This window comes from Homo sapiens, chromosome 17, assembly GCF_000001405.40.
Source record: "Homo sapiens chromosome 17, GRCh38.p14 Primary Assembly".
In the NCBI taxonomy this organism is placed as follows: domain Eukaryota; kingdom Metazoa; phylum Chordata; class Mammalia; order Primates; family Hominidae; genus Homo; species Homo sapiens.
This window is the reverse complement of record NC_000017.11, coordinates 16,268,801-16,291,390: the sequence shown is the minus strand read 5'-3', so window position 1 is coordinate 16,291,390 and position 22,590 is coordinate 16,268,801. Positions and strand designations below refer to the sequence as shown.

The following is a 22,590-nucleotide window of genomic DNA, read 5'->3' as shown; positions in this document are numbered from 1 at the left end:
GGACTACAGGTGCCCGCCACCACGCTCGACTAATTTTTGTATTTTTAATGAAAATGGGGTTTCACCATGTTGGCCAGGCTGTTCTCAAACTCCCGACCTCAAGTGATCCGCCCGCCTCAGCCTCCAAAGTGCTGGGATTACAGGCGCGAGCCACCACGCCCAGCCCCATATAATTTACTTCTTTTCACAGTTGGAAAGAACTGGTTAAAAGAGATTTACTTAGTACACATGGACTTATACAAGCACTAATGGGGCTGAGAATATAAAAGAATGCACATATGGTAAAGACCACAATTTTATCTTGTTAACTGACTCTCCTTGGAAATTACTTGTATGTAATTCAAAATCAATTTGAAAGCAGAAGTCAAGCCTCAAATAGTAGTCAAGCTTTACACTTAAAGAATATCTGGGGGCCACGTGTGGTGGCTCACACCTGTAATCTCAGCACTCTGGGAGGCCAAAGTGGGAGGATCACTTGAGCACAGGAGTTCAAGACCAGCCTGGGCAACATAGTGAGACCCTGTCTCAACAAATTAAAAAAAAAATTAGCTGAGAGTGGTGGCATGTGTGTGGTCCCAGCTACTTGGGAGGCTGAGGCAGGAGGATTGCCAGAGCCCCAGAGGTTAAGGCTCCAGTGAGCTGTGATCGCACCACTGTACTGCAACCTGGGTGAGAAACAGCAACAACAACAACAACAAAAAAGTCTGGGCTGGGCGCAGTAGCTCATGCCTGTAATCCTAGGACTTTGGGAGGCCAAGGAGGGAGAATTGCTTGGGCCAGGGCTTCAAGACCATTCTGAGCTACATCTCTACAAAAAATAAATTTAAAAAATTAGCCAGGTCAGTGGCATGCACCTGTAGTCCTAACTACTTGGGAGGCTGAGGCATAAGGATCACTTGAGCCTGGGAGATCAAGACTGCAGTGAACCATAACCACACCACTGCACCTGCAGCCTGGGCAGCAGAATGAGACCCTGTCTCAAAAGAGAGAGAAGGGAAGAGGAGTGGAGGAAGGGGAGATGAGGGGAGGGGAGGGGACAGATCACTCTTGTAATCCCAGGAGGGTGGATCACTTGAGGTCAAGAGCTCGAGACCAGCCTGGCCAACATGTGGAAACCCCATTTCTAATAAAAATACAATAATTAGCCGGGTGTGGTGGCGCATGCCTGTAGTCCCAGCTACTCGGGAGGCTGAGGCAGGAGAATCCCTTGAACCCAGGAGGCGGAGGTTGCAGTGAGCAACTGCATTCCAGCCTGGGCAACAGAGCAAGTCTCCGTCTCAAAAAAAAAAAATTAAAAAAAAGAGAAAAAAAAGAAGGCCGGGTGCTGTAGCTCACACCTGTAATCCCAGCACTTTGGGAGGCCAAGGTGGGCGGATCACCTGAGGTTGAGAGTTTGAGACCAGCCTGACCAACATGGAGAAACCCCATCTCTACTAAAAACACAAAATTAGCCGGGCTTAGTGGTGGGCGCCTGTAATCCCAGCTACTTGGGAGGGTGAGGCAGGAGAATCGCTTTAACCCAGGAGGTGGAGGTTGCAGTGAGCCAAGATCGTGCCACTGCACTCCAGCCTGGACAACAAGAGCGAAACTCTGTCTTTAAAAAAAGAAAAGAAAAGTCTGGCATTGCCCTGCCTATGTGACATAGGCATGAACCAGGCAATGGATTTGCTCCAGCAAAAGACAGGTATTCTGGCGCAATTCCCTTGCTACTTATGACTTTTCAAATCCAGACCTTTGCAGCTCTACAGGGAATGGTCATAAAGTTACTGAGCTTAGAGTTCCTAGAAACTTCCTTTCATTTTAAGCAAGGTCCTTTGTGACTTTTACTGCAATTTTAATCAAAGAGTATGGAAATTTCTCGGATGCTGATGTGCGTGGGTAAGTTTGCAAAGATGTAAAGCTGAGTTAAGTCTGCCTAAAACAGATGGATATGGAGGACTGAAGCCAAGTTTCCAGCCAGGTTTTATCCAAGTAAAGGAGAGATGACAAATCTGAAGAATGGAGTTGGATGAGATAGCATCATATACTGCTGGTGCAGGACGAAGATAACTAGAGATTGCATCAGGCAGTTGCTGAATCCTCCTTTGTTGACATACTGCTCTCCTTTCAGAATTCTAGTCCATAGGGTTTATCTCACCTGGCCCTCTCAGCTCAGAAATGATAAAAGGCAAGCTGTGAAATATCTGGTAAGGTTGTACCTTGCACCTAAACCTTCGAATACAGAGACCTGTGGTCTTTGCACTCCATCACTTTACATCTCAAATCAGAATTCCAGTCCATACAGTTTATCTCACCTGACCTTCTCAGCTCAAAAATTATAAAAGACAAGCTCTGAAATATCCGGTAAGGTTGTACCTTGCACCTAGACCTTTGAATACAGAGACCTGTGGTCTTTGCACTCCATCACTTTACATCTCAAATCAGTCAGGTGGTGTTTCCTGATAAGAAGCCAGCAAAAGAGAACTGAGAATAAAAGGCAAAACTTTCAAGATGGTTCACAGGGGAAATCTAGGACTACTTAAAACATTAAAGAGACCTATTAAAGAATTTTTAGCTAGGTGTGGTGGCTCACGCCTGTAATCCCAGCACTTTGGGAGGCTGAGGTGGGCGGATCACCTGAGGTCAGGAGTTTGAGGCCAGCCTGACCAACATGGAGAAACCCTGTGTCTACTAAAACTACAAAATTAGCCGGGCACAGTGGTGCGTGCCTGTAATCCCAGCTACTCAGGAGGCTGAGGCAGGAGGATTGCTTGAACCTAGGAGGCAGAGGTTGCGGTGAGCCAAGATCGCGCCATTGCACTCCAGCCTGGGCAACAAGAGCGAAACTCCGGTTTCAAAAAAAAAGAAAAAGAAAAAAAAGAAAAGAAAAAAAGAATAATAGTAATAGGCTGGACGCAGTGGCTCACGCCTGTAATCCCAGCACTTTGGGAGGCCAAGGCGGGTGGATCACGAGGTCAGGAGTTCAAGACCAGTCTGGCCAACACGGAGAAACCCCATCTCTACTAAAAATACAAAAATTAGCTGGGCGTGGTGGCAGGCACCTGTAATCCCAGCTACTCGGGAGGCTGAGGCAGGAGAATAGCCTCAACCTGGGAGGTGGGGGCTGCAGTGAGCCGAGACTGAGCCACTGTACTCCAACCTGGGCAACAAGAGTGAGACTTCGTCTCGAAAGAAAGAAAGAGAAAGAAAGGAAGGAAGGAAGGAAGGAAAGAAAACAGGTAATTTAGAAAAGAAGAAATGCAAACGGCCAACATATATTCCTTCTGCTTCTCAGAAAGAATCAAATAAATGCAAAATTAAAGCAAGATGTCTGTGTTGGAGAAAGACACAGAGAAAGGGGCACTGTTATGTACTGCTGTTATGAGTTTAAATTGCTACATCTCAAGAAGAAGGTAACTTGCCTATATGTGAATATCTGTGCCCTTTGACCCTGTGTTTCTAGAAATCTAACCTAAGGAAATAATTAGAGAAGCCTAAAGGCCAACGTCAGCTCAGGCAGAGAGATATCACTTTCACCGCAATTGGAGTGGAAAGAGGTCGGCAGTTCTGTTGCTCTGCACCAGGGAGCAATTTCTCTAACTTCCTGAATTGTGGCTTATGAAATATGCTAAAGATAACACAAGAGTTTTTTTGGGCATGTTCAGAGTAAGAGCAAAGAAAGCACAGATACACCCACGGTAAGGAATGTCAACGTATAACAGGACAAAAAAACCCTAGTCACTAAACTTTAATTTTGCTTCTGACTTCTCAGTCAAAAAGAATGAGACTTAGACGAAAGAGGAACAGAAATATATTTAGAGGAATTGAATTTTGAAAACAAAAATAAGTCTGTGAGAGAACTTCTTAAAGGGCTCTGAATGTATTCGAGTCTCAGCTCCCCTAGGAAGAAGGCTTAGTGTGTACTTTATTGGGGACTGTGACCCCAGGAGCAGAAGCCACTGACAGATGGAGAAGGCAGGGAAGCAGGGATGCTCTACTGATGTGGCCCTACTTATGGGCACTGGCTGTGTGTTCCCACAGGACTGTCTGAAAGTTGTAAGAAAATCATCTTACAACTGTCCATCTTCCCAGGAAGATAAAGAAGGAAGTATTTATCTCCATAGGCTGTTAGCTCTCTAATCTTTCAGAGTTGAGCCCGCTTGGGGACCCCCGGGCAATCGCAAGCCCTGGGGCAGACAGCAGGAGGAGCAGTGTGGGCCTGAGGCGAGAGGCTGTGAGCTGGAACCAGCCTGCGGCTTCTCGGTGCCTGCGCAGCCATGGCTGGAGAAAGGCATCTGGAGGGGTCCCCAGGGACCCACACCACCAGAGCGGGGCTCCGAGAGAATGAAATCATTGTACATTTAAGTGATCTGGACTAAGCACACACTATGTGCCAAACAGAGGGCTGAGTTTTAGGGATATAAACATGAATACAAGTCATGGTCCCTTCCCTTAGGAAGCTTAGGGCCAATGAGGCAGAGGTTCGGACTGCTGCAGGATGAGCAGTTTGCTGCGGGAAGGAGAGATGGGCAGGGGAAGAGGTGAGGAATCCAGGCAGGTTCGGGGTACCATCAGTCAGTGGCTATTGAAGCACATGAGGCACCTCATTAACATGATGGCATTGCGCGTCTGGCTCTGAGGAGAGACTACTATTTTGGAAGCTAAGAACACAACAGAAGAAGCCAACTCTTGCCAGTCTTTTAAGTGTGACTCGTAGAAGCCCGACGACTCCTTCCCTGGGGTGTATTTAGCAAACACAGTGTTAATACCTCTGGAAAAGGCCCCAAACTCGAAGTCCCGCCCTAGACCTTAATGTTCAGGAAACAAGCCAGGCTAAAAGCGTTCATTAAAATAACGTTGTGGTTTTTTCCCCCACTGGCTGAATATCCTCAAACAGTGACCTTTCCTACACATTCTAATGAGTCACACTGGCCGGCACATTTTAGTCGGGAGAGTCATGGAAACCCTTTGTGAAAATCTGTGGGGTTGTGGGTCCGTTCAGTCACCAGGTGCTGGTGAGGGAAGCCCCCCTTCTTTCCTCTCCCCAGCTAAGCAAGCCCAGGGGCCCAGGTCTTTCTCCCCCAGACCCAGCCCTGCTCAGAGCAGGAGACTTCGCAGCCTCCGCTGCTGGAACTCAAGCAGGGTTGGGTAACAGCTTATCTCTGAAAACCGAGTCCCACTTTTGCACACTGCACTCTGAACTTTAATACAGACGGAGGCGGCTCACACGCCCTTATTTGGTCTTGTGGCTTGTACAGCGCAAGCCGGAAGGTTCAGCCACCCCTCCACCCACCTCTGGCCCATCTCTAAACTCGATCATTTCCTTTGTCATCCAAAGCGAGCAAAGGTCAGTAGAGTTCAGAGCTAACCTTAAGGCTAGCCAAGGACGTGGAAGCCTAACCTGGGACTGCCAATATCGCCCCCCAAGGGCCACTGTGGGAGGCAGCAACTGTCTCCTGGTCTGAGGGCCTGGCACTAGCGTCGCTGCTCCAAATACAGGAGTGTGAAGAAATGAAGTCTAAGCTGCAGGGAGGTTGCAGCAGGGTCCAACAACTTCTGGGGGGTGTCTCTGCACCGCCAAGGACTAACCTAAGCCATACGCAGAGAAAAGAAATAGGGGAAAAGATAAGTAAGAGAAGGAAAAGGCGATCTGAGAAAAAGAAAAAGGACTGAAAAAAGAGGTATATAAAGATCAGTGCACTTTTATTAAGTATCTGCTGTGATAAGGACCTCATTTCTAAGCAGCTTAGGAGCCCAGACAGACCAAATGCCCTAAGAGAGCCTTTTCCACATACGGCTTGAAGCCCCCAAATCTAACCATAAAATGGATTTTTTTTTTTTTGGAGACAGAGCCTCACTCTGTCGCCCAGGCTGGAGAGCAGTGGCGCAACCTCTGCCGCCCGGGTTCAGGTGATTCTCCTGCTTCAGCATCCCCAGTAGCTGGGATTACAGGCACCTGCCACCGCGCCTGGCTAATTTTTGTAGTTTTAGTAGAAATGGGGTTTCACCATCTTGGCCAGGCTGGTCTTGAACTCCTGACCTCGTGATCCACCTGCCTTGGCCTCCCAAAGTGCTGGGATTACAGGCTTGAGCCACCGCGCCCGGCCTGGATTTTTCCTTTCTCATAGGATATAAAAAGGATTAGCAAGGCATGAGTGCTAGGTATTACACTGAAATCAGTTACCTGTGTTCTCCTTCCCAGAAAGATGCATTTCATATTATTGCAACAAATAAAGTACATAAAGCTTGCAAAGTCCTTGTGAGAAATCTTTCTTCAAAAATTGCCAATTTGGCCAGGTGTGGTGTCTCACCCCTGTAATCTCAGCCTTTTGGGAGGCTGAGGTGGTGGGAGGGCTGCTTGAGGCCAGGAGTTTAAGACCAGCTGGGCAACATTAGTAAGATCCTGTCTCTACAGATATATTCTTTAATTGCCAATTTGCTATCTAATGTTGTAACCACCCAGTGGGTTCACCTTGCCTGCTGCCTAGACAGAGTCGATTTATCAATACACGGGAATTGCAATAGAGAAAGAGTAATTAATTCATGCAGAGCCGGCTGTAATTAATTCATGCAGAGCCAGCTGTAATGGAGACCGGAGTATTATTATTACTCAAATCAGTCTCCCGTAGCATTCTGGAATCAGAGTTTTTAAGGACAACTTGGTAGGTTGGGGGAAGCCAGTTAGTGAGGAGTGCTGATTGGTTAAGTAGGAGATGAAATCATAGGGAATTGAAGCTGTCCTCGTGTGCTAAGTCAGTTCCTGGGTGGGGGCCACAAGATCAGATGAGCCAGTTAATTGATCTGGGTGGTGTCAGCTGATCCATCAAGTGCAGGCCTGCAAAATATCTCAAGCACTGATCTTAGGAGCAGTTTAGGGAGGGTCAGAATCTTGTAGCCCCCAGCTGCATGACTCCTAAAATATAATGTTTAATTTTGTGCCTAATTCGTTAGTCCTACAAAGGCAGTCTAGTCCCCAGGCAAGAAGGAGATTTGTTTTGAGAAGGGGCTGCTATCATCTTTGTTTTAAACTATGAACTGGCTGGGTGCGGTGGCTCACATCTGTAATCCCAGCACTTTGGGAGGTGGAGGAGAATGGATTTCCCGGCCTTGAACCTGTTTATAAAAGCAACTTTCGGGCTAGGCGCAGTGGCTGATGCCTGTAATCCCAGCACTTTGGGAGGCCAAGGCGGGTAGATCACCTGAGGTCAGGAGTTCAAGACCAGCCTGGCCAACATGGTGAGACTACGTCTCTACTAAAAATGCAAAAAATTACCTGGGTGTGGTGGCGGGCGCCTGTAATCCCGGCTACTCAGGAGGCTGAGGCAGGAGAATCGCTTGAACCTGGGAAGCGGAGGTTGCAGTGAGCCGAGATCGCACCGTTGCACTCCAACCTGGGCAACAAGAGTGAAACTCCGTCTCAAAACAAAAAAAAAGAAAGAAAAGCAGCTTTCATGAGCAATATCCTGGTGGCCACCCAAGTTCATGATGAGGCAGATGCGGGATGTATTTCCCTCTCTATGAGGCAATGCTGACAGACCAGGAAGGGAACTATGAGATAAGGCTTTAAGCTTGATCGATGGATTCTGATTGAAGTTAAGTGGGTTCTTACTCATATTCAACAGCATTAATAGTAATTGCTAACTCCTTAATAATTCAATAAGAGCTTTTGTATAATCGGTGATTTAAAAAGTTTTACAAAATCTTCACACTATTCAATTGTTTAATATAGATTAACATCTCTCTCTTATTTTTTTTAAGAGACAGGGTCTCAGTCTGTTGCTTAGGCTGACCTTGAACTCCAGGTCTCAGATGATCCTCCCACCTCACCCTCCCAAAGTGCTCAGATTACAGGTGTGAGCCACGGCACCTGGCCAGATTAACACCTCTTCTAAGAGCAGTGAGTCTTGAATGAGCATGGCTCCTCAGAAATATCTTTTTTTTTTTGAAATAGGGTCTTGCTCTGTCATCCAGGCTGGAGTGCAGTGGTGCAAACACAGCTCACTGCAGCCTCAACCTCCTAGGATCAGGCAATCCTCCTTCCTCAGCCTCTTGAGTAGCTGGGACTACAGGCATGCACAACCACGGCCAGCTAATTAAAACAATTGTTTTGGCCAGGCACAGTGGCTCACGCCTGTAATCCCAGCACTTTGGGAGGCTGAGACTGGCAGATCACCTGAGGTCAGAAGTTAGACACCATCCTGGCCAACATGGTGAAATCCCACCTCTACTAAAAATACAAAAATTAGCTGGGCATGGTGATGTGTGACTGTAATCCCAGCTACTCGGGAGGCTGAGGCAGGAGAATCGCTTAAACCCAGGAGGCAGAAGTTGCAGTGAGCCAAGATCATGCCATTGCACTCCAACCTGGGCAACAGAGTGAGAATCTGTCTAAAAAAAAAAAAAAATTCTTTTTTGGTAGACATGGGGTCTCGCCATGTTGCCCAGGCTGGTCTTGTACTCCTGGGCTCAAGTGATGCTCCCGCTTCAGCTTCCCAAAGTGCTGGGATTGAGCCACTGCACCTGGCCAGAGATATCTTTTGAAGTAGACATTGCTTACTATTACTGGCTGCTGGACCCATAATAGGGGCTGAGTCCTATGACCAGCCTGGACATCTTTCCCAGCTTCTTGAGAGGTGCCAACATCACATCAGGATATATGTATGAGCTGCATTCTGCACTGACTCTTTCACCAACTTAATGAGCACTCTGGATTCCTTGAGATCATTCTTAAAAAGAGTTTGAGGAGGATACCTTCCTTCCACATGACTAATGCTGATTCATTAACCAGAGAATGCAGGAGTTAGAAGGGACTTTAGGAACCATCTAAGTAGTCCTGTTAGCCTCAGAAAGAGTAATTCTAGGGATATTTTGTGAAATCAACACTGACTATGTTTGGGAGGTAAAATGATTCCTTTGTCAAGGTGTTTGGGTATGGGTGTTTAGGGTATGTAAAATTAGATATTTTACATAATAGTAGTAACTAGACTGGTGAAAAAAAAACAGACCAATTATTTACCTCTAATTCAGCATTCCATTGTGCTATCTCTCTCCTATAACTTAGGCTTTTCTAAGTTGTAAAGAACAAGGATATGGAGTCTTTCTACCTCCCTCGTGCATGTTCACTCTGAGATGCTGGCTATGGTGGGCAAGAAGGAGGATAAGCCAAGGGATGCCCAGCCATTCCTCTCACACCCAGAAAAAGGGAGGGCTTTCAGGGGACTGTGGGCAGGCAAAGCTGAAGGAAATTTGGGATATGTGCTAATTCCCAGGAAGACCCTGTCTGGTGATGCTCAGATAGCTTCTGTAGGGTGAATTATTCTCGAAAGGCAGTGGTCTCCAGATCAGGGCAGTCCACCACTATGGTGAGTTACAGTCCTGATCTGCTGATCAACACCCTCTTAGCAGTGCCCCCATGGACAGCTGTCGCCCCCCTTCCATTGTCTGGGGGCAATAGCAGAATGTCTGAGGATGGGTCTTACAGGTTGCATTGCTCTTGCTCCCCTTTGGCTTGCCTGCTTCATGTCAGATGGGAGCTGTACCAGTGGGCACCCCACCTGTGTACCAGAGCTCCTGCTTCTGCAGGAGACTGAGGCCAGTATTTCCTCCTTGTCATGGAAGATTCTATCACAGGTCCCCTTCTTCTTTCTCCTTTAGCCAGTCTCATAAAAATTTGCCAATATCAGTATCCAATTCCTTCTAAAATTAATATTTCTTAGATGTAGGCAAGGAACTAAGCATTAAATATTGCAGCAGAAAATATACACGCCTACCAGGCTAGGGATTTATAGGGAAAATATACAAGAGAGATCCAAATCACTTCAAAATTATTTCCAAGTGGGTTGATGCTATTTGATGTGGTTACTTAAGAATGTAGACAAAAGATACACTTGCAGTGCTGGCCAGAAGATAGCCTTAGTTATTATGAATGTTGCATCTGGCTTTGCAAAGAGCAAATGCCTAGACACATTCTCAGGGATGGGATGGGATTTGTTAAACAATCTCTTGCATCCAGTCTCTGAAACATAAAAGCCGTTGATATTCTTTTAGAGCAGGTAAAAAATGCTTGGACTTTTCTTAGAAAAGGGAGAACATTCCTAGAATTAGCATCTAAAACATGTCAAAATTTAGCTTGCAAAAATGAGTTCAAAATGAACTACTGTTCTACAGCAATGTTTTCCAATTGAGGTCCACAAATCCCTGAGAGTCTGTGGCTAAATTCTCAGGGGTCCATGCATTCCTAGAAAAATTTTTTACTTAAATAATAATCTGAAACATTTCATGATTATTTCCTTGAAAACTTCAAATGAATGTATGTTCATGTGATTTTAGTGCTTATATTTATACATGTGAAAGCACAAGAGTCTTCTCAAAGTAAGTGAGATTTTTTTTCCTTTTAAAAACACCTAGTGAGCCAGGCATGGTGGCTCATGCCTGTAATCCCAGCACCTTGGGAGGCCAAGGTGGGTGGATCACAAGGTCAGGAGTTCAAGACCAGCCTGGCCAAGATAGTGAAACCCCATCTCTACTAAAACTACAAAAATTAGCCAGGCGTAGTGGCAGGCATCTGTAATCCCAGCTACTCAGGAGGCTGAGGCAGAGAATTGGTTGAACCCGGGAGATAGAGGTTGCAGTGAGCCAAGATCGTGCCACTGCACTCCAGCCTGGGTGACAGAGCGAGACTCTATCTCAAACAAAACAAAACAAAACAAAAAAAACACTGAGTGAACCCTAATGCCTAATGTAAATTATGGATTCCAGGTGATAACTATGTGTCAATCAATGTGGGCTAATCAAGTGTAACAAATGTACCATTTGGGTTGGGGATGCTGATAACCAGAGAGGCTGTGCATGCGTGGGGCAAGGGCTATAACTTCTGCTCAATTTTGCTGTGAACTTAAAACTGCTCTAAAAAATAAAGTCTGTTAGAAATAAAAAAAAGTTATGCAAAAAATGACCCAATACTGTATGTAAGCTAAACATGAACAGCAAGTTAAATTAGAAGAAAAGAAAGATCCACCCATCACTCAAAGTTAACTAATTCTGCTCCAAAGTATTGGGGGCTGAAAACCAGCTGGCATTCTCCAGGCAATCAAGGCTAATCTATTTCCATCAACCCTCTTTCTCCAGTCTTATAGGACCCTTAGCCTCTCTCAAGTACAGTCAGTATGGACCCATGCAGGCACCATTTGGTGGGACCTCTGCCCCCAGGAGCAGATAAGGCCTAGAATTACCAATGTGAAAACATATTTTAGACCCAGTATCCAATGGACCAGGGTGAACCTCAAGCATCTGTGTGTACATCAAGCTCTAGGCTCTTCCTCAGTGATGCATATGTTTTTCCATGTCCATGTGCCTGGGCTTCTGCCCTGATGTAGTTGTCTGTTCCTCTACTGGTAATAAACCCAGCCCAGTTAGTCAAGACCATAAGAGGGTCTGGCAAGATGACATTTCCAAGCCTAGTGACTTGAACCAGTTTTCTCTCCTAGATGCTGGCTATAGTCATCTAGCTCCAAACAAGGTCAACCCAGAATCACAGCAAGGCCCCCCTGCCTGACTCTGACCATCTTGTTAGCTAGAAACACTTGCTGCAATGGCTTACCCAATAGATTGGGCCTCCTTGGAAATAGATACTAGTCCACTTCAAGCCTGTATTCACCCCATTCCCAGGCTACTATAATCTGATGACTGACTCACTGGCGTGTGCTGTTGAGGTCCCTGTGCCTCTGATAGACACATCAGTCTGAGATATGACAATCTGGAGCAAGAGAAGGACAATGGGGACAGAGTTTAGGTACAATAGGAAGAATTTAATAAAACTTCTATAGAAAATCTTCTCTTGGGAAGTATAATAAAATAAACAAATGTAAATGAAAATTTAAAAGTTAGAAATATGCATAAATCTGTTCAAGGATAATGCTGAGCCTAAGACCATCCTAAGTGGGTCTCATTGGCCTTGCAGGCAAAATATCTCTTTATTATATGCATTCATTTAGAAGTCACAGTCCTTTGATGCCAACAAGTCTAATCTTATGCCTTACAGTAAATGAACTGGCATCTAAAATATGTCAAAAATTAGGTTGTAGAAATGAATTTAAAGTGACCGGCTGCTCTGCCTATGGAGTTGCCATTCTTTTGTTTCCTTTACTTAATAAACTTGCTTTCACTTTACTCTTTGGATTTGCCTTGAATTCTTTCTTGGGCAAGATCCAAGAACTCCCTCTTGGGGTCTGGATTGGGACTCCTTCCCGGTAACATCTTCCAGGTGAACCCTGAAGGGACAATACTGAGGAAACTCTGGCCCAAAGGAAATAGACTGCAGCACCAATTGGCCAACTTTGGCTGTACCTGCTTATGATGCCCTAGAAACTGTGTGCTTTCCTGGGCCTGTTCCTCCAAGCGCTCTACCCTGAAACCCATAATCCATTTAAGAAACTGGCAAATGAAAAATCTTAACAACTACTGAATATTATTCTGCCTGTCTGTGTATTTATATGGGTTGTGTGTGTGATATGAAAGCATTTTGATTAACTGGTTTAAAAATAATAGGTGCTTAAATCAAATATTGTCAGAAAAGTAAAAAGTATAAATGCCTTTTAGTTCATGAGACTTAAGTAAATCAGTTTTACATGCAAGGAAAGTGAAATGTGTTTTTGGTAAAAGATTATAAAAAGGCATGTGAATGTGGATTTTTTTTTTTTGCCTAGATTTAAGGGTTAAAGGATTGTTTTAGGTTAGATAGGAAAAAGTTGAAGTTTGAACAAGTTGTGGAAGGTTTGTGAAAAATTAATCTTGTAAAAGAAATTCTGTGTGTGAACATATTAGCTAAAATTAAAGGGGTATTATTCAGTTTATCCATAAATTGAAGACTGGAATAAAAGCACAACAGAGTTTTCTTAGAACACTAATCTGCTCTTTAACAAAAATTGTAAAGGGTTTTAAGAGGTTTATAAGAACCTTACCTTATGGTCAGACATTAAAATTGGATAGATTTATCTATAAAGTTTTATTAAGAATCGGGTTTGATCCTGGGCACAGTGGCTCATGCTTGTAATCCCAGCACTTTGGGAGGCCAAGGCAGGTGGATCACCTGAGTTCAGGAGTTTGAGACCCATCCTCACTGGCATGTGCTGTTGAGGTCCCTGTGCCTGGCCAACATGGCGAAACCCTGTTTCTACTAAAAATACAAAAATTAGCCAGGCGTGGTGGCTCACACTTGTAATCCCAGTTACTCGGTAGACTGAGGCAGAAGAATTGCTTGAACCTGGGAGGCAGAGGTTGCGGTGAGCTGGGATCACGTCACTGCATTCCAGCCTGAGCAAAAGAGTGAGATTCTGTCTCAAAAAAAAAAAAAAAGAATTGAGTTTGACATCAATAATGCACTAATTCAATGGTGAAGTTTGGCTTGTTTGGTATAAAAATCATACAGGAAGCACTGTCAAATATGAAATGGCGCTTGGCTTTCTTTGGGCTGTATTTGTATAAATATGTTATTGGTATATGTTCCAAAATCACAGGAAACTCCTACAATTCTGATATGACTTAGTGTATGTTGTTAATCATTATAATTGTTATGTAAAAATTGTTGTATGCCACAGAAGTAACCAAAATTCTTAGTCAACTGTGGCTTTAATAGAGGCTATCCTAAGGTGTTTTGTCACCCACGGACAATTGTTGTCTTGTCTTTGTCCTCTTTAGAAGGTGGTTTTATAATCAATTATAGAACTCTAACAGGTGTTATTGAATGTAGGTTTCTAATAACTTTGTAAATTGTGACATTAAAATAGAGGAAAAAACTTTCAGGACTCATGAAGAGCTGAAATGTTCATGAATATCAAGCAAAACAGGAGTTAACTGCATGGATTGACCTAACAGAAGACTGAAGCAATCTTTTTTTAACTTTTGGCTTAAAACGTTGCTGATCCTTTCTTTTGTTTTTCAGAGCCAAGGAAATTTTTCTTTTGAGCTATTAACAGCTTTTAACAATTGAGTAAAGTATACTCCTGTGAACAAAATTTGAAGCATATTTGTTTCTCTCTGCCCAATTTCTCCAAAATTCAGAAACCATTTGTGAGCATTTTTAACTTATGGCAATATAATTATTTGCATAAATGCAATAAGAATGTTTTCTTTTGTATCAGAACACAATTGGAGAAACTTTTTTTTCACCAAGGCTTTGACTGGAATGACACTCTTTCCTTTAAGGAATCAAACTTGACTTACAGTGCCAATAAAAGCCCCTTAGGAAAACTGGCCTCATACATTGTCTACGTAGTCCCTGTACAGGGTTCTTGACCTGTGGTAAGTAAAGAATGTCACTTTATGACAAGTCCAGGAGCCCCAAGTTATCTTGGGATCTCAAGAAGAGAGAAATTTACCCAACTCATATAGATATTTGAGGGTACAGACCCATGGCTGGGCTCAGCTTTAAAAAAGTCTTATCTGAGATTCCTTCTAAGGAACAAAATTCCATCAAAGCTGATTTTAAAAGCCTATGTGAAAAATAATTATTGTTGCTGCACTTTATACAAATAATGAGGCCAAGTATAACAAAGCAAATCAGTTACCATGATTTGTCTTTAGTAAAAATGGGAGACTGGAGAGAAAAACGTTATGTTTCAAAAACTATGGTACGCATGTTATCAGAGTCTAGTCATTTTATTTTATTTTATTTTTTGAGATGGAGTCTCACTCTTGTCACCCAGGCTGGAGTGCAGTGGCACAATTGTGCCTTACTGCAACCTCCACCTCCCAGGTTCAAGTGATTCTCCTGCCTCAGCCTCCTGAGTATCTGGGATTACAGGTGCCCGCCACCACGCCTGCCCAGTTAATTTTTGTACTTTTCATAGAGACAGAGTTTCGCCATGTTGGCTAGGCTGGTCTCAAACTCTTGACCTCAGGTGATCCACCCGCCTTGGCCTCCCAAAGTGCTGGGATTATAGGTGTGAGCCACCACACCCGGCCAGAGTCTAGTCTTATCAGTAGTTTTTAAGTTTTTTTTCTGCAATTTAAACTGACTGCTTATTCCTGAGAACCAACCAGTGATCTCTGGCTGCTACTTAGAAGAAACAAGAGGGATAGATAATGTAAAAATCTGGATCAATATTCTAATTCTGGGCACATATTGGAATAAGCTAGTGACCCCATATCAACTTGGTTTCAACAATTGCCCAGTTCATGGAAAGACTTCTTATTTAGTTTACTTTGAATAATTTTACTTATTTTGCTTTACCATTGTGGAATGTGTTGCTGTTGTACTCTTTGTGTAGGAATGCAGGATAAGCTTACTGAATGTTTTCTTAAATTGAACACTTATTAATCTTTCAGATATCACCTTTTGTCAGAGTTATAAATGGCCCTCACCATAATGACGCTTTCTTTCTCTTTTTTTGAGACAGAGTCTCACTCTGTCACCCAGACTGGAGTGCAGTGGCCTGATCTCGGCTCACTGCAAACTCCACCTCCTGGGTTCAAATGATTCTCCTGCCGCAGCCTCTTGAGTAGCTGTGATTACAGGCACCCACCACCACACCTGGCTAATTTTTATATTTGTAGTAGAGACAGGGTTTCACCATGTTGCCCAGGCTGGTCTTGAGCTCCTGATGTCAAGTGATCTGCCTGCCTTGGCCTCCCAAAGCACTGGGATTATAGGTGTAAGCCACTGCACCCAGCCTCCATACTGACACTTTCTGACAGAGCTCCTCTCTACCCCAAATACAAGAGACCCTAATAGGCAGTAATATCATTGCCCCTATTCAGCCTGAAGAAGTCACAGAAGATGGATCTTCATCCCTCTACAGCCCTTAGGATTAAGGGTTCTCTTATAAAAGGAAGGGGTGAAATATGTCAGAGGCATTTGAACCACAGCAATTCCATCTTGAATAGGGGCTGGCTAAAATAAGGCAGAGACCTACTGGGTTGCATTCCCAGGAGGTTAGCATTCTTACTTATAGGATGAGATAGGAGGTCAGCACAAAATACACGTCATAAAGACCTTACTGATAAAACAACCTGCAATAAAAATCCCACCAAAATCCCACCAAAACCAAGATGGCAATGAAAGTGACCTCTGGTGGTTCTCATTGCTCATTATACGCTAATTATAATGCATCAGCATGCTAAAAGACACTCCCACCAGTGCCACTGACAGTTTACAAATGCCATAGCAACGTCAGGAAGTTACGCTCTATGGTCTAAAATGGGAGGAACCCTCAGTTCTGGGAATTGCCCACCTCTTTCCCAGAAAACTCAATAAGCCAGCCCTTGTTTAGAGTATAATCAGAAAATGACTGTAAGTGTCCTTAGTGGAGCATCCCACTTTGCTGGCCGGTGGAACAGCCATTCTTTATTCCTTTACTTTCTTTCTTTTCTTTTTTTTTTTTTGAGACGGAGTCTTGCTCTGTTGCCCAGGCTGGGGTGCAGTGGTGTGATCTCAGCTCACTGCAGCCTCTGCCTCCCGGGTTCCAGCCATTCTCCTGCCCCAGCCTCCTGAGTAGCTAGGATTACAGGCGCAAGCCACCACACTCGGCTAATTTTTGTATATTTAGTAGAGACGGGGTTTTGCCATGTTGGCCAGGCTGGTCTCAAACTCCTGACCTTAGGTGATCCGCCCCCCTCGGCCTCCTAAAACGCTGATATTACAGGAGTGAGCCATAGTGCCCGGCCTATCCCTTTACTTTCTTTTTTTTTTTGAGACGTAGTCTTGCTCTTGTCCCCCAGGCTAGAGTGCCATGGGGCTATCTCAGCTCAATGCAACCTCTGCCTCCCGGGTTCAAGCGATTCTCCTGCCTCAGCCTCCCAAGTAGCTGAGATTACAGGTGGCTGCCACCACGCCCGGCTAATTTTAGTATTTTTAGTAGAGACGAGGTTTCACCATGTTGGCCAGGCTGATCTCGAACTCCTGACCTCAGGTGATCCACCCGCCTCGGCCTCCCAAAGTGCTGGGATTACAGGTGTGAGTCACCGCACCCGGCCTCCTTTACTTCCTTAATAAACTTGCTTTTGCTTAAAATAAATAAATAAATAAACAAACAAACAAAGTGACCTATGTTCTACAGCAATGTTTTCTAGCTGAGATCCGCAAGAGAACTCTTGCCTTCCTCTTCTTGGCCTCAGGTCTGAACTGCTTGTCCTGTGACCCATTTCCTTTACACGCTCCAACCTTCTCACGTCTGGTTTCACTCTTATCTCCTACATCTGGCCTTGTCCTGACTTCCACACTTGACACCTGACACTATCTTCTTGGTAATAACCTTGGTTCCCAACTGACCAGTACTAAGGTTCCCTATTTGTGACAGTTAGCTTCAGAGCACTTTAAATAAATGCCTGTCCTGATTAAGTAGACTCTAGAAGCCCTGATGATCTGGGGCTTTGAACCACGCCCTGTGAGTATCACGGCCATCGATGGAGGCCATCAGTTTGCTAATGAGAACATGAGCCTCTTCACTAGCCAGGAGAACCTGGAGACCTCACCCTCCTCCAGAAGCCCTGTTCATGCCTCTGACATTTCTGCCCTAAAAAGTTTCCAATGGCTTAGTTTAGCTATAGGGCAAAAGGGTTTTCCCTCAAAGAAATGTTTCCCCCCTTTAGGCAGAGTGATATTTTTGGTGTCCAGACTAACAGGGATGAAGAACAGATGAATCATTTAGTGGAGGTGATGCATTATGCAGTCACTAAATGCACACATCTGGGAGACCCTTTGTTTTTTTTCCTCCCTCTTATCTTTGACAACCAATTGGTCATCAAGCCTTAGAATAGCTACCTCTGTAGCAGCACTAGAAACTATCTCCTCTCAATTTCCCCTGCCACTGCTTTTTTTTCTGACTCTGATTTCTCACGTGACCATACCTATTGGTTCCACTGCACCAAGTCTGGAGCCCCCTTCCCAAGCTGCTTTCCACAGTGTTGTCAAAAGAAGTCTTTCTAAAATGAAAATCAGATCAATTTATTGCCCATTTTGACGTACTTCAAAGCTCCTTATAGTTTTAAGACATTTCAATTCCATAACCTTCACCTGACACATGGTCTTTGTGATCTGGCATTTGCCTGGCTCCCTCACTTGATCTTCTGTCATATTCCCTCAGGCATGTGGACTCCAGCTATCTGGAAGAACTCATATGGAATGCACCTGGCTAATTCCTACTTGTCTCTTAAAGCTCAGATCACAGGCAACCTGTCTCTAGTGTCTTTCCTGGCTCCTGCATCTGAGTCCATGGTACCTTTGTGTGCTGTCCTCACATCATTAGTTGGTTTGTTGGCTTTTCCTAGACTGCAAGCTCCTTGAGGGCAAGGACTTGACTTGCCATTTTGTACTCCTAGGACCTGATATTTGAGATATAGTATATGCTCAAAAAATGAGTGCTAAATGAATAAACAAACACATTTCAAAGATTAATAAAGAAACAAAGTGAAACCCATGTTCCTCCCATGTCCTCTCAGAATCCTGTTTCATCCCAACTTCCACGTGAACCTGGCTCAGTGGGGCACCAGTTTTTTGTAAATACCTCAATCACAACTACAGAGTGTGCATCGAACACTGAGAATCATAGAGGACCAGGCAGATGACAAGAATGGCTGAAGGTGACCGACCCAAGTGGCCAGGGAAGTAAGGAGGTAGGAGGACAGCTGGAGCCAGGGACTGTTACAGAAGCCAAGAGTGGTTTCTGGATTGGGGGAGTGGTCAGCATTGGCCAGAGCTGCTGAGAGGTCCAGTAGGACTGGGACTGAAAAGCTTCCTACTGATTTCACAAATAGGAAGTAACCAGTGACTCTGGAAAGAGGAGCTTCAATGGCAGCGAGAAGTAGTAGGACGATGAGCCAGAATTTAATGCATTGGGGAATTAATAACAGGATGTGAAGACAATGCATGTAGATAATACTTGGTTATGAAGGAAGAGAAGTAGAGCAGTAATGGGATGAGGAGGGTTAAGTAGAGGTTTTTGTTTATTTGTTTTTAATGATGAGAGAATCTTGAACAAACAAATATGGAAAGAACCCAAATAATACAATAGGAATAGAGGCAAATGAAAATTTCCAGGAAGGCATGCTATGACTATAACAGATTACATGGCATAGGTCAGAACTATTGACAAAATGTCAATAATGAGGCTGTAAATAACAGATGTCCAGGTGTAGTCCTGGCAGCTAGTTCTAGGAAACAGATTGCTGTTAACTATTCTAAGTTCTGGGAATTTATTTCATAGGTAAAGCAATGGAGTGAGTGGAAATTTGATATTCACAACTTGTTTCAGGCTAAGGATAAAAGGCAGAAATAAGCAAGCTCACAGTAGGGAAATAGTGACACTGACTTTCACAAAATGGGATAAAAAGCAATGGCTTTGGGGTTAGGGTTGCCAATAGCAGATGCCAGTTAAAATTTGATTTTAAGCTGGGCATGGATGGAGGCTCATACTTATAATCACAGTGCTTTGCGGGGGCCAAGGTGGGAAGATTGCTTGAGGCCAGGAGTTTGAAACCAGCCTGGGAGACAGAGGAAACTATGTCTCAAAAAATAATGAAAATAAAATAAAATAAAATTTGAATTTCAGATAAACAAGTGAATAATTTTTTAGTATAATTATGTTCTGGCCGGGCACAGTGGTTCACGCCTGTAATCCCAGCACTTTGGGAGGCTGAGGCGGGCAGACCATGAGGTCAGGAGTTTGAGACCAGCCTGGCCAATATGGTGAAACCCCATCTCTACTAAAAATACAAAAATTAGCTGGGTGTGGTGGTGTGCGCCTGTAGTCCCAGCTACTCAGGAGGCTGAGGCAGAAGAATTGCTTGAACCCAGGAGGTGGAGGTTGCGGTAAGCCAAGATTGCACCACTGCACTCCAGCATGGGCGACAGAGCAAAACTCCATCTCAAAAAAAAAAAAAGTGTTCTATGTGAAATTTGGGACACACTTAACATTAAAAAATTATTGTTTATCTGAAACTAAAATTTAGTTAGGCACTTTGTATTTTATCTGTAACCCTATTTAGGGTACGTACCTATTTGCAGGACAATTATTCTGTTTATTGAACCACAAAATGCTAGTTGTGAAAAAACCTCAGAGATAATCTAACACAAGGCTCCTATTTGATGAAGAGAAGCCTGAGGGTCAGAGCATGAATGTGCCTGCCCACTGTCACAAAAGGTGGAGCTGAGGACTGATCCTGGACTGCTTGAGGTTGCTACAGAAGAATAATTCCTAATTATATTTTTGAGTCTAGCTTTAAGAGACATAATGAAGGTTGCTAAAGAAGAATAATTCCTAATTCTATTTTTGAGTCTAGCTTTAGGAGACATAATGAAATTCCCTAAGATGCCTTAGAATCACAATAATTTTAATAGACTTTATTCAATAAAGAAATACATACATTCTATGACTTCTTTAGGAATTACTGAGGAAAAAGGTACATTGTTGAATTGAGCAGTCATTCATAATACATCCCAATTACAAAAAGGTTAATAACCTTTACACTGGAAATGAGTCCAAGGGAGGGATCATGACTACTTTTCCTTTTCTCTTTTTTTTTTTTTGAGACAGTCTCGCTCTGTCGCACAGGCTGGAATGCAGTTGCGCGATCTCGGCTCACTGCAACCTCTGCCTCCCGGGTTCAAGTGATTCTCCTCAGCCTCCCGAGTAGCTGGGATTACAGGTGCCCGCCACCACACCCGGCTAATTTTTGTATTTTTAGTAGAGATGGGGTTTCACCATGTCGGCCAGGCTGGTCTCAAACTCCTAGCCTCAGGTGATCCGCCTACCTCAATCTCCTAAAGTGCTGGGATTACAGGCGTGAGCCACTGTGCCTGGCCTGACTACTTAAGTTTTCATGGGTAACATCTAGCATATGCTTGTTGGTAGGAGGCTGACAATCATCTAATGAAAAAAATACTGCATAATTTTTTCTCAGGTTCTATTTAATAAATTTGAAATTAATTGTGGGATCACAATTTTTATTAATTTATAATTAATTAATTTATAATTAATAATTTATAATTAATTGTTGGATCACAGAGGATCAGTCTAGGAAAACTGCAAAATTAGAACACGGGCAGGACAATGAACTAAATATGTTATAGTGGGAAGATTGGAGAATGACAGTGAGACTGGCATCTGATTAGAATTTTTTTTTTTTTTGACATGGAGTTTCGCTCTTGTCACCCAGGCTGGAGTGCAGTGGTGCAAGCTCGGCTCACTGCAACCTCCGCCTCCTGGGTTCAAGCAATTCTCCTGCCTCAGCCTCCTGAGTAGCTGGGATTACAGGTGCCCACCACCATGCCCAGCTAATTTTTTGTATTTTTAGTAGAGACAGCATTTCGCAGATGTTGGGCAGGCTGGTCTCGAACTCCTGACCTCAGGTGATCTGCCCGCCTCGGCCTCCCAAAGTGCTGAGATTACAGGCGTGACCCACCATGCCTGGCCTAGAATTTTTAAAGTATAGATGAGTGCTGAAGAAACAGGATATGGCTTCAGCTCTGTAACTTTGTAAAGACAGATGAATGAAGTGTAAGATTATGAAGACAATCTTGGTTGAATACTTGAAAGATGCAATGACTCATTCTTAAAAAAAACAGAACAAAACTTGGATTTCAACCCAGAGACTCCAGCCCAGAGGTTCCCAAACATTACTGTGCCTTAGGATCATCTGGGGAGTTCAAAAAAAAAAATTCAGGTTCTTAATCACCCACCCCATTAGATTCATGCAGAGTACAGTGGAGCCTAGGTATCTGTGTTTTATCAAATGCCCCAGGTAATTCTAATTTTTTTTTTTTTTTTTTGAGACGGAGTCTCGCTGTGTTACCAGGCTGGAGTGCAGTGGGTGATCTAGGCTCACTGCAACCCTAGCCTCCTGGATTTAAGCAATTCTCCTACCTCAGCCTCCCGAGTAGCTGGGATTACCGGCACATGCCAACACACCCAGCTAATTTTTTTTGTATTTTTAGTAGAGACGGGGTTTCACCATGTTGGCCAGGCTGGTCTCGAACTCCTGACTGCAGATGATCCACCTGCCTCAGCCTCCCAAAGTGCTGGGATTGCAGGCATGAGCCACAGTGCCTGGCCTGCCCCAGGTAATTCTATTGCACCTAGGCTGCAGATCAACCTCTATATTTTACAAAACACCACTCTAGTCAGTCTGGATGGAGACTGGCCATGTAAAGCCTAGGCTATAGAGGCCATATGTGTCAGCTAAAGCAGAGATGACAGACCACATGGCCCTATGTGTACCTTTGAGAAGTTACTTAATCTCCCCCGACTCAGTTTCCTCATCTGTAAAATGGGAGTAATGACAGCATTTACTCCTAGAGAATTTAACAAGTTAATAAATTTAAGGGATGTAGAATAGAGTTGGACAGAGTAAAAACCTGGCTGGGCATGGTTGCTTACGCATGTAATCCCAGCACTTTGGGAGGCTGAGGCGGGCAGATCATTAGGTCAGGAGATCAAGACCATCTTGGCCAACATGGTAAAACCCTGTCTCTACTAAAAATACAAAAAAATAGCCAGGCGTGGTGGCACGCGCCTGTAGTCCCAGCTACTCAGGAGGCTGAGGCAGGAGAATTGCTTGAATCCTGGAGGCAGAGGCTACAGTGAGCCGAAATTGCGCCACTGCACTCCAGCCTGGGCG

At 44.1% G+C, this 22,590-nt stretch overlaps 1 protein-coding gene and 1 non-coding gene across 8 annotated transcripts in view, besides 6 other annotated features; both read right to left on the bottom strand.

The window, feature by feature from the left end:
- Nucleotides 1–22,590, bottom strand: part of PIGL (phosphatidylinositol glycan anchor biosynthesis class L) — a 109,202-nt gene that overhangs the window by 35,021 nt on the left and 51,591 nt on the right. The window contains exon 1 of one of the 7 annotated variants that reach the window (XM_047437099.1): nt 7,253–7,294. The exons of the other annotated variants lie outside the window; for them this stretch is intronic. The gene's annotated coding sequence lies outside the window, so the exon portion shown is untranslated. Of the gene's footprint in view, nt 1–7,252; nt 7,295–22,590 lie in introns of those variants that run through there. 7 annotated transcript variants of the gene reach the window in all.
- Nucleotides 3,065–3,114: an enhancer, noted in NCBI's record as "active region_11754". NCBI's record gives its function as "activates an Ori minimal core promoter by ATAC-STARR-seq in GM12878 lymphoblastoid cells {active_cell/tissue: GM12878}" and the evidence as "EXISTENCE:reporter gene assay evidence [ECO:0000049][PMID:35858748]".
- Nucleotides 3,135–3,184: an enhancer, noted in NCBI's record as "active region_11753". NCBI's record gives its function as "activates an Ori minimal core promoter by ATAC-STARR-seq in GM12878 lymphoblastoid cells {active_cell/tissue: GM12878}" and the evidence as "EXISTENCE:reporter gene assay evidence [ECO:0000049][PMID:35858748]".
- Nucleotides 3,445–3,574: an enhancer, noted in NCBI's record as "active region_11752". NCBI's record gives its function as "activates an Ori minimal core promoter by ATAC-STARR-seq in GM12878 lymphoblastoid cells {active_cell/tissue: GM12878}" and the evidence as "EXISTENCE:reporter gene assay evidence [ECO:0000049][PMID:35858748]".
- Nucleotides 4,659–5,648: an enhancer, noted in NCBI's record as "OCT4-NANOG-H3K27ac-H3K4me1 hESC enhancer chr17:16189057-16190046 (GRCh37/hg19 assembly coordinates)". NCBI's record gives its function as "activates a minimal SCP1, AML or CMV promoter by ChIP-STARR-seq in naive H9 embryonic stem cells {active_cell/tissue: H9 hESC(naive)}" and the evidence as "EXISTENCE:reporter gene assay evidence [ECO:0000049][PMID:30033119]".
- Nucleotides 5,102–5,396: an enhancer, noted in NCBI's record as "tiled region #12459; HepG2 Activating DNase unmatched - State 1:Tss, and K562 Activating DNase matched - State 5:Enh". NCBI's record gives its function as "activates a minimal TATA promoter and a strong SV40 promoter by Sharpr-MPRA in HepG2 and K562 cells {active_cell/tissue: HepG2 | K562}" and the evidence as "EXISTENCE:reporter gene assay evidence [ECO:0000049][PMID:27701403]".
- Nucleotides 5,445–5,494: an enhancer, noted in NCBI's record as "active region_11751". NCBI's record gives its function as "activates an Ori minimal core promoter by ATAC-STARR-seq in GM12878 lymphoblastoid cells {active_cell/tissue: GM12878}" and the evidence as "EXISTENCE:reporter gene assay evidence [ECO:0000049][PMID:35858748]".
- On the bottom strand, nt 9,303–9,377 carry MIR1288 (microRNA 1288). The gene has a single exon (NR_031698.1). It is a non-coding gene; the product is annotated as a microRNA 1288 (primary transcript).